General features: G+C 37.9%; 1 protein-coding gene across 11 annotated transcripts in view; it reads left to right on the top strand.

Annotated features, from left to right (window-relative positions):
• PTPN12 (protein tyrosine phosphatase non-receptor type 12) overlaps positions 1 to 14,388 on the top strand; it is a 102,775-nt gene that overhangs the window by 65,011 nt on the left and 23,376 nt on the right. For all 11 annotated transcript variants that reach the window (XR_007060120.1, NM_002835.4, XM_006716073.5 and 8 more), the window contains 3 exons: positions 4,930 to 4,996; positions 8,460 to 8,537; positions 8,643 to 8,741. Coding sequence is in view for 10 of the 11 variants with exons in the window: in NM_002835.4 (NP_002826.3) it covers positions 4,930 to 4,996; positions 8,460 to 8,537; positions 8,643 to 8,741 (244 nt within the window). In the remaining variant the exon portion in view is untranslated. The remainder of the gene's footprint in view (positions 1 to 4,929; positions 4,997 to 8,459; positions 8,538 to 8,642; positions 8,742 to 14,388) is intronic.

Here is a 14,388-nt window from a genome sequence, read left to right on the forward strand (position 1 = left end):
AAAGCTAAATATACATAATACATATGCACATATATGTATATGTATACATTATATGTAATACATAAAACAAAGCTAAATTTGTATTATGGATTTAGGAGTGTAATGGAAAATACCCCTTTAAGAGGAAAAGCACAAAACTGAATTAGTCAAGAAAATAATAAATGTTTGCAATAAGTGTCATGACCGGGTATAGTGGCTCAGTGCTTTGGGAGGCCGAGGCAGGATGATTGCTTGAGCCCAGAACTTTGAGGCTGCAGTAGACACCAATTACACTACTGCACTCCAGCCTGGGTGACATAGTAGACCCTATCTTTTAAAAAAAAAAAAAGAATATAGGTATCATTATAATATGGGTGATACAGGATATTTTGAAACCTAATTTTTGGAATTTCATTATATAGGTATGGGTTTCTACATAGTAGAAGCTACTTGAATCCTTAGACAGTTTTTCTACTCTGAATTTTTAGTTTACATTAGATTCTTCTAAAGGCCTTACAGTCATAGTACTTACTTCATAAGACTGCTATCAATTTATTCCTCTAAGGGACTTGTTATCTGCATTCACATTTGTTATAAAAAGTAAATGAGATTTTTCAAACTTAAGAGATTTATTTTTTATTATTTACATAGTTAAAATATTTTTTCAGTGGAGTTGAAGCATTGAAGATAGTTTTCTTATTCACTTGGTTTGACCGTAATGCTCATAATTAACGAAGTAAAAGGGCTACTTTTTATTCATGGGCCAGGAAAGTAACTTGCTGGTGGAGATGTGGGAATCAGTTAACAACTTGGTTCATTAAAACTATTTTTTTCTGTGGTTAATTCAGTGGTTAGTTGACCATTTAATTAAGTAGGATTGACCAGTTAAAAATAAACAATATGTTTAATTATAGAATTAAAAGATAAAGAAATTGCTTTCACTTTGACTTCTTATAAGTTAGTTAAAATAATTTCCTGTTCAATCATAAATCCATTTGTATAGGAAGGCTTTTCATCAAAAACTAAATTGACCGTTAAATATTTTTAGACAATCAAAACAGTACGTTAACTGTAAGGACTTAGAAAACACATCCATAAAAGCAAGAAAATTCTTTTGCTTTCCACTAGTTCCACTGGAGATAACCATTGTTAAAACTCGAGAATGTGTCCTTTCAGTGTGTGTATGTGTACATACAGTATTGTTTTGTTTTATTTTGTTTGACGGAGTTTTGCTCTTGTTGCCCAGGCTGGAGTGCAGTGGCACAATCTCGGCTCACTGCAACCTCCGCCTCAACTATTTTAAACAGCAGTTTAAATGCTTAGTGGCCACTCTGTTTTTTTGTTTTTAATTTACTTTAATGGCCATCTTATTGTTAAATCTTTGAGCACATCTGCAGTTATTAGGACAAAGTTATTATTGGATAAATATCCAGAAGTGAGATTTGTTGGTCAAGGACATAAACTTTTAAAGTATTTTAATGAGTATTTTTTAATGTGTTATCCAGAAAATTGATGCTACTTAATTCTGCCACTGGCAGTATGTGAGAGTACCTATTTCCCTATACCTTCCCCAATACTGTGTGTTATCTTTTTGTTTGCTTTTTTTTTTTTTTTTTTTTTTTGAGACAGAGTCTTGCACTGTCGCCCGGGCTGGAGTGCAATGGCACGATCTCAGCTCACTGCAACCTCTGCCTCCTGGGTTCATGCGATTCTCCTGCCTCAGCCTCCCGAGTACTGGGATTACAGGCACACACCACTACACCCAGCTAATTTTGGGTATTTTTTAGTAGAGACGGGGTTTCACTATGTTGGCCAGACTGGTCTTGAACTCCTGACCTCATGATCTGCCCGCCTCCACCTCCCAAAGTGCTGGGATTACAGGTGTGAGCCACGGTTCCCAGCCTTTGTTTGCATTTTTTTCTTCCTTTTTTTTTTTTTTTTTTTTTTTTGAGACGGAGTCTTGGGCTGTCGCCTGGGCTGGAGTGCAATGGTGCGATCTTGGCTTGCTGCAACCTCTGCCTCCTGGGTTCAAGTGATTCTCCTGCCTCAGCCTCCCGAGTAGCTGGGATTATAGGCATGCACCACCACACCCGGTTAATTTTATATTTTTAGTAGAGTTGGGGATTCTCCATGTTTGTCAGGCTGGTCTTGAACTCCTGACCTCAGGTGATCACCTGCCTCGGCCTCCCAAAGTGCTGGGATTACAGGCGTGAACCACTGCGCCCAGCCTCATCTTTTAATAGTTATACAAGTGCTTTATATATTGAGGACATTAACTTTTATTCATGTTGTAAGTACCATGGTTTTTCCTGTCTTCTGCCTGTTTGCAATACATAAGTTTCATTTTGTCATGTCAGATTTTTGAATGGTTTTTGTCCATTGAGATATTTGTACATAGAAAGTCTTTCCCTAACACAATAGTGTATATATTTTGCATATATTTTTAGTACTTTCATAGATTTACTTTTTAACATTTATCATTGGATAAATATCCAATATGTTTATATCATATATATATATATATTTTTATCCACCTGGATTTTTTATGGTTAAGGTATGTGATCAGAATTTAATTTTTTGCTCTTCATTGATAGCTAACTTCTCCTTTGCCACTTACTGAACGGTCTGATCTCTGGAGAATTCACTGTTATGTAAGAAATGTTACATGTACTCAGATCTGTTCCTGAACTTTCTATTGTGTTTCATTGATCTGGTTATCTGTATCTTTATGTTATACTTTTAACTATCAAATTTTAGATATATATAATTTATCCCAGTAACTCAACTAAAATTCTATAAATGTTTTGATGCACAGAATTCACAAATGTATCAACTAAAAATTAATATAATTGATTATGTTTATTAAGAGTTTTAAAAAATCTTTCTAGGTTGTTTATAGTGTACTTTTATCAGGAATTTTAGGTTACATGTTTAACAAACTGCTGATAGGTATACATTTCAAAATATGCATTAAAATGTTACACAACTTTGTGGGGGTTTTTGCCAAAGATTATTCTGGTGATGTCAGTAACATCTTATAATTACTCATAGTGATTTTCAATTCTAAGATGCATAAGCCTTTCTCTAGTTGAGAAGCAGTTACTTTAAAATACTTTTGTCATGAGTTTTTTTTTTTTTTTTTTTTTTTTTTTTGAGACGGAGTCTCGCTCTGTCGCCCAAGCTGGAGTGCAATGGCGTGATCTCAGCTCACTGCAACCTCCGCCTCCCAGGTTCAAGTGATTCTCCTGCCTCAGCCTCCCAAGTAGCTGGGATTACAGGCGCCCACTACCACGCCCGGCTAATTTTTTTTTTTTGTATTTGCAGTAGAGACGGGGTTTCACCACGTTGGCCAGGCTTGTCTCCTGACCTCAGGTGATCCGCCCTCCTTGGCCTCCCATTGTGTTGGGATTACAGGCGTGAGCCACTGAGCCCAGCCTGTCATGTTTTAAAATAAAAAAACCTATGGTATGTTACTCTAAAGTCCCCAGCTCCCATTAGTTTTTTGGGATATGAGAGCATATCATTGTCTTGTTCTTTTGTGGAAATCACTGCTGTTGCTCAATCCGTTTTCTAGGGCTTATAGCATTCTTCACCTTTCCTATACCTTCTATAGATTGAAATGATGTACCATTTCCTCCTGTACTCTAAAACAAGAGCCATCTTTTTTTTTTTTTTTTTTTTTTTTTTGAGTTGGAGTTTTACTCTTGCTGCCCAAGCTGGAGTGCAATGGCACGATCTTGGGTCACTGCAACCTCCACTTCCCCGGTTCAAGTGATTCTCCTGCCTCAGCCTCCTGAATAGCTGGGATTGCGTGTGTCTGCCAGCACGCCCAGCTAATTATGTGTTTTCAGTAGAGATGGGGTTTCACCGTGTTGGCCAGGGTGGTCTCAAACTCCTGACCTCAAGTGATCCACCGGCCTCAGGCTCCCAAAGTGCTGAGATTACAGGCATGAGCCCCTGCGCCCAGCCACAAGAGCCATCTTGAACATAGAATAAATGTCTCTGTAAGACGTTGTTAGCTAGTCACATTTTCTGATGTAGCATTAGACTTCCAGAGTGACAACTTAGTAGCTATTCTCTGTGTCACTTACTCTTGGAAGTTCCTTAAATTAATTTTTGTTTTTCTTTTTGAGATGAAGTCACACTCTGTTACCCAGGCTGGAATGCATTGGTGCCATCATGGCTTACTGCAGCCTCGACCTCCCAGGCTCAAGCAATCCTTCTGCCTTGGCCTCCCAAAGTGCTGGGACAACAGGCATGAGCCACTGCGCCCAACCCCTTAAAAATGAAATGTTTAAAAGATAGAAGACAATAGGCCTTCCTTATTCAAGACTTCACTGTCCTCAGTTTCAGTTACTCATAGTTCAAAAATATCAAATGGAAAATTTCAGAAGTAAACACTTTGTAAGTTTTAAATGCTGCACCATTCTGAGAAGCATGGGGAAGTATGTCCTGCTTGCAAGATAAATCATCCCATGGTCCAGTGTGTACACACTGTAGACTCTACCAGCCCATTAGTCACATAGTAGATACTGCAGTTACCAGATGGACTGTCATGGTGTCCCAGTGGTTATGTTCACATGACCCTTATTTTACTTATAATGGCCCAAACCTCAACAGTAGTGAGGTAGTGACTAGTGATAGATTGTTATAATTGTTCTAATGTATTATTAGTTATTGTTGTTAATCTCTTGTTGTGCCTGATTTATAAATTAAACTTTATCATAGGTATGTACATATAGGAAAAATCATAGTGTATATGTATATGTATTCTGTGTAACAGATGTTGCCATGAACACACTGTAAGTTGTATTTTGTTTATTACTAAGTAGAATTTTGTCAAACTTCTTAAATGATTTTTTGTTTCTGAATATTAACATGTCTATCCACATTTATTTTATAGTTGTTTTATCACAAAAATCAATTGTTTTTCAAACTTTATATCCTTAGTGCAGGCTGTGGAAGAACAGGTGCCATTTGTGCCATAGATTATACGTGGAATTTACTAAAAGCTGGGGTAAGAATAATTTTTTGTAGCATTATGTTCAATTGATCTATTATGATTTTCAAACTTAATTATAATTGCAGTAAATTATAGTGTATATTTTATTATACATGTTATTTTTTCCAAAGTAGTTTTATTAAGTAAGAAATAAAGGTAGTGAAGGCCGGGCACAGTGGCTTACGCCTGTAATCCTAGCACTTTGGGAGGCCAAGGTGGGAGGATCGCTTGAGCCCTGGGGCTCGAGACCAGCCTGGGGAACATAGGGAGACCCCCGTCTCTAAAAATAATTAAAAAATAAAATGATTATAAAAAATAAAGGTGGAGAAAAGGTATAATTGCTGCATATTGCCTTTGATAGGATGCATTGGGGAACAATGTGACAGTGTTCTAGGTGAGTGAATACTTGCATTAGGATATAAACTGTTACTGACTTTTCCAATACTAAATTTTCATTGCCTTTTTTTTTTTTTCTTTTTTTTCCGAGATAGAGTTTCACTCTTGTTGCCCAGGCTGGAGTGCGATGGTGCGATCTCAGCTCACTGCAACCTCCACCTCCTGGGTTGAAGCCATTCTCCTGCTTCAGCCTCCCTAGCAGCTGGGATTACAGGTGCCTGCCATCACGCCCAGCTAATGTTTTATATTTTTGGTACAGACAGGGTTTCACCATGTTGGCCAGGCTGGTCTCGAACTTCTGACCTCAGGTGATCCACTCATCTCGGCCTTCCAAAGTGCCGGGATTGTAGGCGTGAGCTACGGTGCCTGGCCCATTGCCTTTTATGTTTACTCTAGGTATAAGTGTATTTCACTCAGTATGTATTTATGCCTGCTGGAGACATTATAGTATTGTAGTCTATGAATGCTGACTCGAGCCAAATTGCCCAGATTATAATTCTGGCTTTCTCATTTACTAGCTGTGGGATCTTGGTCAAAATACTAATCCCATAGTGCCTCTATTTCTTTATCAGAAAATAGGGGTCATAGTAGTAGTAATGCATAAGAATTAAATAACTTTTGTGAAGTTCTTCAGAACTATGTGGTAAATTGTAAGTACTCAGTTTATTGTTAGTGTTGATTACTGTTGCTGTTGTGATTGTTGTTCCTACTACTGCTTTTTCCAAGAAATAGTGTTTGATACTGTGGATGATACAGAGATAAATAAGATACAGCCTTCATTATAGATTTGAAAAACAAGTCTCTTCATTATGTATACATTTGATTCTTTTGCTGGTTCCATAATGTGTTCATTTCTAGAGAGGCGCCTTTAATCCTTCATAGCTTTATAGTTTCCATGAATTGTTCATCTTTGTCTTGTACAGAGTAGAATTAATAAAATGTTTATTTTTTCTTTTTCTTCCTTCTTCCCCTTATTTCTCTTTTTTCCCTGCCATCTCTCCATTTTTTATTGTTGCAAGGAAATATTTACATGTTAAACAGTTCCTTAAAAAGCCCTCTGGGGTTAAATATTTTTTTCCTCAAAAACTATAATCATCTAATTCTCAAATGAAAATGCTTAAGTGAACAAAATTTAACTGGAATTCGATCACATTTTAACATAAAAGTCAAAGATTAAAATTGGAATGAGAAGGGACACATAAATGAATGCTAGCAAACAAAACAAACATTTGGTCATTTTAAAAGTTGTGTATTTTGGATAGGTGCCATGGCTTATGCCATAATTCCAGCACTTTTGAAGGCTGAGGTGGGCGGATCACCTGAGGTCAGGAGTTTGAGACCAACCTGGCCAACATGGTGAAACCCCATTTCTACTAAAAATACAAAAATTAGCCAGGCGTGGTGGCCGGCGCCTGTAATCCCAGTTACTTGTCAGGCTGAGGCAGGAGAATTGCTTGAACCTGGAAGGCAGAGGTTGCAGTGAGCCGAGATTGTGCCATTGCACTGCAAACTGGGTGACAGAGCAAGACTCCGTCTCAAAAAATAAAATAAAATAAAAGTTGTGTATTTTGAACATAGTTCTCTCTCTCTCTTTTTTTTTTTTTTTTGAGATGGAGTCTCACTCTGTTGCCTAGGCTGGAGGGCAGTGGTGTAATCTCGGCTCACTGCAACCTCTGACTCTCAGGTTCAAGCGATTCTCCTGCCTTAGTCTCCCGAGTAGCTGGGATTACATGCACGCGGCACCATGCCTGGCTAATTTTTGTATTTTTAGTAGAGATGGGGTTTCACCGTGTTTCGGGCTGGTCTCAAACTCCTGACCTCAGGTGATCCGCCTGCCTTGGCCTCTCAAAGTGCTGGGATTACAGACATGAGCCACTGCACCCGGCCTAGTTGTTAAGTCTTCATGTAAAAATCTTGGCTGGGCGCGGTGGCTCACGCCTGTAATCCCAGCACTTCGGGAAGCCGAGGCGGGCGGATCACGAGGTCAGCAGATTGAGACCACCCTGGCTAACACGGTGAAACCCTGTCTCTACTAAAAATATAAAAAAAATCGCCAGGCGTAGTGGCGGGGGCCTGTAGTCCCAGCTACTCCGGAGGCTGAGGCAGGAGAATGGCGTGAACCCGGGAGGCGGAGCTTGCAGTGAGCGGATATCACGCCACCGTACTCCAGCCTGGGCGACAGAGCGAGACTCCGTCTCAAAAAAAAAACAACAAAAAAAAAACCCAAAAATCTTATGATGTATATAAGGACTTCCAAGCAGCAAACCTGGAAATCATTTTTAACCCTTCCATCTTAATCACTCCAAAATATTCTTGTTGATAACAGTTATGATATTTCTGCTTCTGTAAACCTCCGCCAGTTTCTCACTCTTTCAGACTGTCCTCTTCCTTGATACAAAAATTGTGTGAATATCAGATCTTCTCATGTCAACATTGCCTATTGCAGTAGTCGCAATTCCATATACACAAAAGAATTGTCTAGGTCGTTTCATAATTAGTTCCCCAACTTGGAGCCAAAGGATCTATATTTTTACCTAGGTCTTTTAGCTGGTCCTTATATAGCCAATCCAGGAGATACTGGCCAATAGAATAAATTCAGTCTCTTTATTATGTTCACAGTCTGATCCTAAATATCCTTATCTTCTCTCCTCCTTTGAGTACCTTCTCCTTCTTTTAGTCTTAGGCTTTGTTTACATCAAACTTCTCAATTCCCCACATAGATTATACATTGAATCTGCTGTGCTTATGTATATTTCCTTCACTTTTTATGGGATAACCTTCTTTTGATATCCAACTATGTTGTAGCTGCACACACTCAACAGTTAGCCATAGCCTCTTTATTCCCTGTATACTGCAGTCATACTTTGGCTGGACATAACTGTCTCCCCATCTTGAATGCTGAGGGTCAAGAACAGTTTTGTTTCCACAGTGCCAAGCACAGTGTCTGAGATGCATTAAGTGGTGTTCAATAAATGTTTGCAGTAAACCAGCAGGTATTTAAGTTTTATGTGAAAAGCTGAAGAAGATTTTACTATTTTCTGAATAGATACACAAAGTTGATGTATTAAATTTTCTGTTTTAGAAAATACCAGAGGAATTTAATGTATTTAATTTAATACAAGAAATGAGAACACAAAGGCATTCTGCAGTACAAACAAAGGTATAGTTGTTTGTTTCCCTTTATAAACTGCTATTTTATAAATGCTTTCTTCTTTTTTAAAATGTTGTTTTCATTTTGTTTTTTAATCATTTTTCTCCTTCATAGGAGCAATATGAACTTGTTCATAGAGCTATTGCCCAACTGTTTGAAAAACAGCTACAACTATATGAAATTCATGGAGCTCAGAAAATTGCTGATGGAGTGGTAGGTGTTCTTGGTCTATTAATTTTAGGAAACTTTTACTCTTTGTTAAGATGTAATATTTAGCCTTTTTTTTGTTGTCTTGTGTTTTGTCTAACATGAGAAGAATATCCAGGACACTTAACATTTTTACTTAAACTCATTTCCTTCTTATTCGTATCTGTATTATGATGGCTATTTAATGACTCCGATATAAGGTAAATTATGTTCTAAATGAAATAAAGTTAGGAAAGATCTCATGTCAAAAATCATATAATTCGTTAATGTTTTACTTTTTTAAAAAATAATTGCATTGTTCTCTTTACTCTTCCCTTCCACCCCCACCCAAGTAATTCTGCATTGATTCTACTTGAATTTCATTTTGTATAAAGTGTTTTAGTTATTTGTGTATATGCTTTTCTTTTCTTTTCTTTTTTTTGAGACAGAGTTTCACTCTTGTTGCCCAGGCTGGAGTGCAATGGCACAGTCTCAGCTCACTGCAACCTCTACCTCCCAAGTTCAAGTGATTTTCCTGCCTCAGCCTCCTGAGTAGCTGGGATTACAGGCGCACGCCACTGTGCCCAGCTAGTTTTTGTATTTTTAGTAGAGACGGAGTTTCGCCATGTTGACCAGGCTGGTCTCGAACTCCTGACCTCAGGTGGTCTGCCCGCCTTGGCCTCCCAGTGTGCAATGTGCTGGGATTACAGGCATGAGCCAACACTCCTGGCCTTGTGTATATGCTTTTCAGTTAAGCAGAATTAAAGAGCCACAGTTAACTCCCTTTTGTTGTGTTATAATTCAGTGTTATTTTAGCCTTGTAACATCTTACTGGATATTCAACTTCTAGACCTGACAAAAACACTGTATTCTCTTAGTATTCTCATTTCTGCCTTTGTTTTCTAACCAATTGTCTTGCTTCAATTCTATATATAACCACCTTGTCCCTGAAGGTGCTGAGATTTTTTTTTTTTTTTTGTAGAATTTGTTTACATCTTTGTCATTGAGTCTATGATAACTATTACATTGTTAAACCAAGTATGAGAAAATAAGTTGCAAAATTTATAACCTTCATTTTCCTTTTCTCCCTTTAAATGGTTTTGTCAGTTCCCAGAATATTTGTTTGAATTTTCTTGGTTTTCCAAATGACAGATTTATTACCAAATGCTGATCTCAGTTTGTTAGGATAATCTAATATCGGTCCATGAGTTTTAGGAAATATGCATTTCTTTTATTAGCCAAGTGACAATTTCACGTTTTTAAGTTTTATGTGACATCGTTCTTATTCCTTTATTAACATAGGAATTATTGTGCAAGGAAATCCTCCTACAATGCCTTTAGCTTAATTAAATCCTATTATGACATGCTCTGAATCTAGCCAAATATTTTATAATGTAGAATCAAATGTGTTTTTGTTTTGTTTTATTTTGTTTTTTGAAATGGAGTTTCACTATTGTTGCCCAGGCTGGAGTGCAATGGTGCAATCTTGGCTCACCGTAACCTCCGCCTCCCAGGTTCAAGCGATTCTCCTGCCTCAGCCTCCCTAGTAGCTGGGATCACAAGCATGTGCCACCACACCTGGCTAATTTTGTATTTTTAATAGAGACGGAGTTTGTCCATGTTGGTCAGGCTGGTCTCGAACTCCCAACCTCAGGTGATCCGCCTGCCTCAGCCTCCCAAGTGCTAGGATTACAGGCATGAGCCACCGCGCCCGGCCTCGAATGTGTTTTTTGTTTGTTTTGTTTGATTGGTTTTTTTTGTTTTTTGGTTTTTGGTTTTTTTTTTGATGACGAAGTCTCACTCTGTCACTTAGGCTGGAGTGCAGTGGCGCAACCTCTGCCTCCCGGGTTCAAGCGATTCTCCTGCCTCAGCCTCCTGAATAGCTGGGATTACAGGCATGTATCACCACATCCAGCTAATTTTTGTATTTTTAGTAGAGATGGGGTTTTGCATGTTGGCCAGGCTAGTCTCAAACTCCTGACCTCAGGCGATCCCCCTGCCTCAGCCTCCCAAAGTGCTAGGATTATAGGTGTGAGCCACTGCACCCGGCCAAACATTTGTATTATTTTGTATAATTTAATCTAAGTTGAGATATTTAATATTTCGAAAAGCTGAGTAGGCTATAAACAGTTTTCTTTAATTTTTGGGTTTTTTTTTTTTTTTTTTTTTTTTTGAGATGGAGTCTCGCTCTGTTGCCCAGAATGGAGTGCAGTAGCACAGTCTCGGCTCACTGCAACCTCTGCCTCCCGGGTTCATGTGATTTTCCTGCCTCAGCCTCCCAAGTAGCTGAGATTACAGGCGCCCACCACCATGCTCAGCTAATTTTTGTATTTTTAGTAGAGACAGGGTTTCACCATGTTGGCCAGGCTGGTCTTAAACTCCTGACCTCAAGTGATCCACCCACCTCAGCCTCCCAAAGTGCCAGGATTACAGGCATAAGCTACTGCACCCAGCATCTTTAAACTTTAATTGAAAAGCATTTCTGTTTTATTCCATGAATTCAAGATTAATTTCAAAGCTAAAGTTTTTATATCTGGAAATACAGGTTTTTAGGCTGGATGCAGTGGCTCATGCCTGGAATCCCAGCACTTTGGGAGGCCGAAGCAGGCAGGATCACCTGAGGCCAAGAGTTGAAGACCAGCCTGGGCAACATGGCAAAACCCCGTCTCTACCAAAAATACAAAAAAGATTAGCCTCCCAGACTCACGGGTACATCACCTTGCCGAGTTTATTTTTTTTATAGAGATGAGGTTTTACTGTGTTGCCCAGCCTGGTCTCAAATCCTTGGACTCAAGCAATCCATCCGCCTCAGCCTCCCAAAGTGCAGGAATTATAGGCTAAAGTTCTTTTATTGCAATATTCAGTGTTTGGGTTTTGTTTTGTTTTGTTTGAGACGAGGTCTTGCTATTTCACCCAGGCCAGAGTGCAGTGGAACAATCAGGGCTCACTGCGCCCTCAACCTCCCGGACTCAAGCTTTCCTCCTGCCTCAGCCTCCCAAGTAGCTGAGACTATAGGCACATATACCACACCTAGCTAATTAAAAAAAAATTTTTTTTTGTAGAGATGTTGCCAGGTTGGTCTTGAGCTCCTGGGCTCCAACAGTCCTCCCCCACCTCAGCCTCCCAAAGCACTGAGATTACAGGCATGAGCCATTGTGCCCAGCTATTGTTGTATTTTTTAAAACTTTTAACTATATTTAAATAATCTCCAGAAAATATGTGATAAATACCGCATCACCTTTTCATCTTTTTCTAATTAGATCAAAGTCTGATCTTTGTAAGGTTTTATTCCATTGAATCAATCCTTTTTTAATATCCTGAAATCTATACTAGGATTATAATTCTATCATAGGCTCTTTCTGTCTAATAGGTCAGAGCTTTACGGGAATATAATAAAAAAGTCATACTTTGTAGGAGATGAGATGAAATAATACCCATAGCAGATAAGTAGTTAACTTCAAACCTACTTTCGTACCTCATTGCATGGTACATAGTAGACATAAACTAAATGTTTGAGAGAAATCTCTCCATAGATGAATGGATAAATAGTAAAAAAAAACAGAAGAAAAGATGGATTATCATTCCAGATAACTTTTTAGTATTTTCTTCTTAAGAAATCATGTTTTCTGTAAACTTGTAAATATAGGTGACTCTTTTTATAGGATGGCTGTCTGTGGTTGCAGACCATAAATCTTAAAGAAAATGTGGAATCTGAAAAATTGAGAAAAATCATCTTAGAACTGTGTGGTTGAATGAAATGACTTGAAAGGTGTATTAACTATTTAGAAGCTATGCTGTGAGAAGTAAAAATAAGTCCCCACTTACTACTTTTCTGACAATTTAATCGGTAAAAGTTTTGTTTAAATGTTCTGTGTTCCAGTATTATTTCTGTAGAAATTTTAGTTTGATATACTAGTTGGTTGTTTAAGACTTTAAAATGAATAGTGTTTTTTAGAGATATTTATAACTACAGTGACTTCCTGGAGTGAGAGATCTAAAGAGAAAATTTATTCTGTAAGCCTGTATCATATTGACTGAGGATTTAGAGGTACCTTAATAAGCAAACATCTGTTAAGTTGTGCAGTGTGCCTTTTTATCTTGTGTGTAAAGGACACCGTTACAAGTACTGTCAACACCAGTATTTCAGTTCTAGAATGATTAAGTAATAGCAATAACAGTTTGTATTATCGTCCTTTTATTGTGTTTGTATAGTACATTTTAGATGTGATAATGAATTCTGGATTTTTTTTCCTAAAATATAATTTTTTTATTTTTAAAGCACCCTGATTTATAATTTATTTTCTTCTGCAGCTGATAATATTCTTAAATATTAGATAATTTGTTTCTTAATGTTTTTGTAGCATTTCATAAAGCTGTTATATGGAAAATAACAGTACGCAAGATAACTTTAGAAAGTTCTGTTTAAAACAAGAGAACACAGGCTAGGCGCCGTGGCTCATTTCATGCCTATAATCCCAGCTCTTTGGGATGCCAGGGCAGGAGAATTGCTTGAGACCAGGAGTTTGAGACCTGCCAGGGCGACAAAGCGAGACCCCATCTATACAAAACAATTTTTTTTTAATTACCTGGGTATGGTAGCACGTGCCTGTAGTCCTAGCTACTTGGGAGGCTGAGATGGAAGGATTGTTTGAGCCCAGGAGTTCAAGGCTGCAGAGGTATGATCATGCCACTGCATTAGATTATTTAATTCCTAAAATTCTTTTCCATTTCAAAAGTTGGTGATTGCTTCAGCAAGTTGTATACATGACAAATGTGGACTCAAAAATTATAGGTAATAAAAGAGAGTCAGAAGATGTGGGTGTGTAGGAGACATTAACTAGGAAATCCAAGAACATTGTGAAGTCCAGTGACCAGGAGGTTTTGTACATGCTGTTTAGGTAGTGGCTCTTTATCGAATTGCAGTTCTGCATTGTCACATTGATTCCTTTCATCAGAGGAAACTCAGTATGTTCTGAAAGCTAATCTCTCCCAGAAGCTCTCTTTTGGTTCTTCCTGTTAATGGCTTCATCCTGCTCTTACTCACCCAGAATGAGGAATCCTTCATGAAACCTTTACTTTCTCACATGTAGTGTTTGCCTAAAATGTCCTTACTATCTCTTCTCTTTACCCTTCCACCTGTTTTCCTTCTTCCAATCCTCATTCATTTTTTGTCAAAATCTTACCAATCCCTCAATGCCATTCTGCATTTTACCTTAATATTGTCAACTTACTTTTTCTCAATTATATTCTTAATATTCTCAACTATAGCTTTTTTTTCTGATTTCATAGCTTCATAGTACTGATTATGCCACTTTGGGGCTGTAGTATTACCCTTCTACTTTTTTTCTGGGGATTTTACCAGACTACATTTTGAAGTTAAAGATAATACCATGTCCTTCTTACATTTTAGTATCCTCTGCTTTGCTGACTTTATTCAGTGCATTTCACTAGATGTCCACATTGCCTTACCTGCAGTTCCAAAATCCAAAGAAAACATAGTTTTGTTTTGTTTTTGTGAATTCAATATTACACTCACTTGGCAACAAAATATTTCATTGACATGACATGAGTTTATGTGTGCTACAAAAGAAAAATGCTGTTTTGTATGTTAGAAACAGTTCAAAAGGAGTTTCATATGGTTTGCCTTTAATTTTTATTTAACCTACTTAATGCA

The sequence above is a fragment of the Homo sapiens genome, chromosome 7 (assembly GCF_000001405.40).
Source record: "Homo sapiens chromosome 7, GRCh38.p14 Primary Assembly".
In the NCBI taxonomy this organism is placed as follows: Eukaryota; Metazoa; Chordata; class Mammalia; order Primates; family Hominidae; genus Homo; species Homo sapiens.